Consider the following 619-nt stretch of genomic DNA (forward strand, 5'->3'; position numbering starts at 1 on the left):
GTGGGAGGAGAGGGGGCTGGCAGGCACTGCCTACACCTACGTGTCCTGAAAACCAATGCATGCCCACAGAGGTGGGCGGGTGGGAGGCGCAGAGTGGCCCAGCTCCCAGCCTAGGAAAGATCTTTCCAATGCTCTGCTTGTCATTTGTTCCCTTGTGTGTGAATTTTTAGAACAGGTATCAGATTCTTTCTGTGTAGGACACTTTTTGTTTGTTTTTGGAGTCAATGCTCTAAGGTCTCTTCCGTGTCTTTAAAACTTGGGTTTTGAATATGATTTCTATGAAGAAAAGCGAGTCATCAGAATCCTGTCTTTGTGGACTGTTGACATCATAGCTGAGACTGCCACAGTTGGTGCTGCAGACTCAAAGTCAAGTGCTCCCATAGACGCCCCACTCGCTGCCATAGTGAAGACCCCCATTTGCCTCCAGAGGTCAAGCTTCCTTGTCCAAGTTGGAAAGTAGACAAGAAAATCCTCAGCCACTTCCCCCATTTCTTTTCTCACTTGCTCCTCATCCCTTCATGTTTGTATTCCCAAGATCTCAGGCTTCTAAGAAAGCTCATCTTAGCCTTCTAAGAAAGCTCATCAAGTTGGGAGTGAGACCTGCCATGGCTGTGGTCAT

At 48.0% G+C, this 619-nt stretch overlaps 1 annotated feature.

Annotated features, from left to right (window-relative positions):
* Positions 235-406: a silencer, noted in NCBI's record as "fragment chr7:131749059-131749230 (GRCh37/hg19 assembly coordinates)". NCBI's record gives its function as "represses an EF-1alpha promoter that drives an FKBP-Casp9 reporter gene in an ReSE screen in phorbol 12-myristate 13-acetate-treated (for megakaryocytic differentiation) K562 erythroleukemia cells {active_cell/tissue: K562(+PMA)}" and the evidence as "EXISTENCE:reporter gene assay evidence [ECO:0000049][PMID:32094911]".

This window comes from Homo sapiens, chromosome 7 (assembly GCF_000001405.40).
Source record: "Homo sapiens chromosome 7, GRCh38.p14 Primary Assembly".
Taxonomy (NCBI): domain Eukaryota; kingdom Metazoa; phylum Chordata; class Mammalia; order Primates; family Hominidae; genus Homo; species Homo sapiens.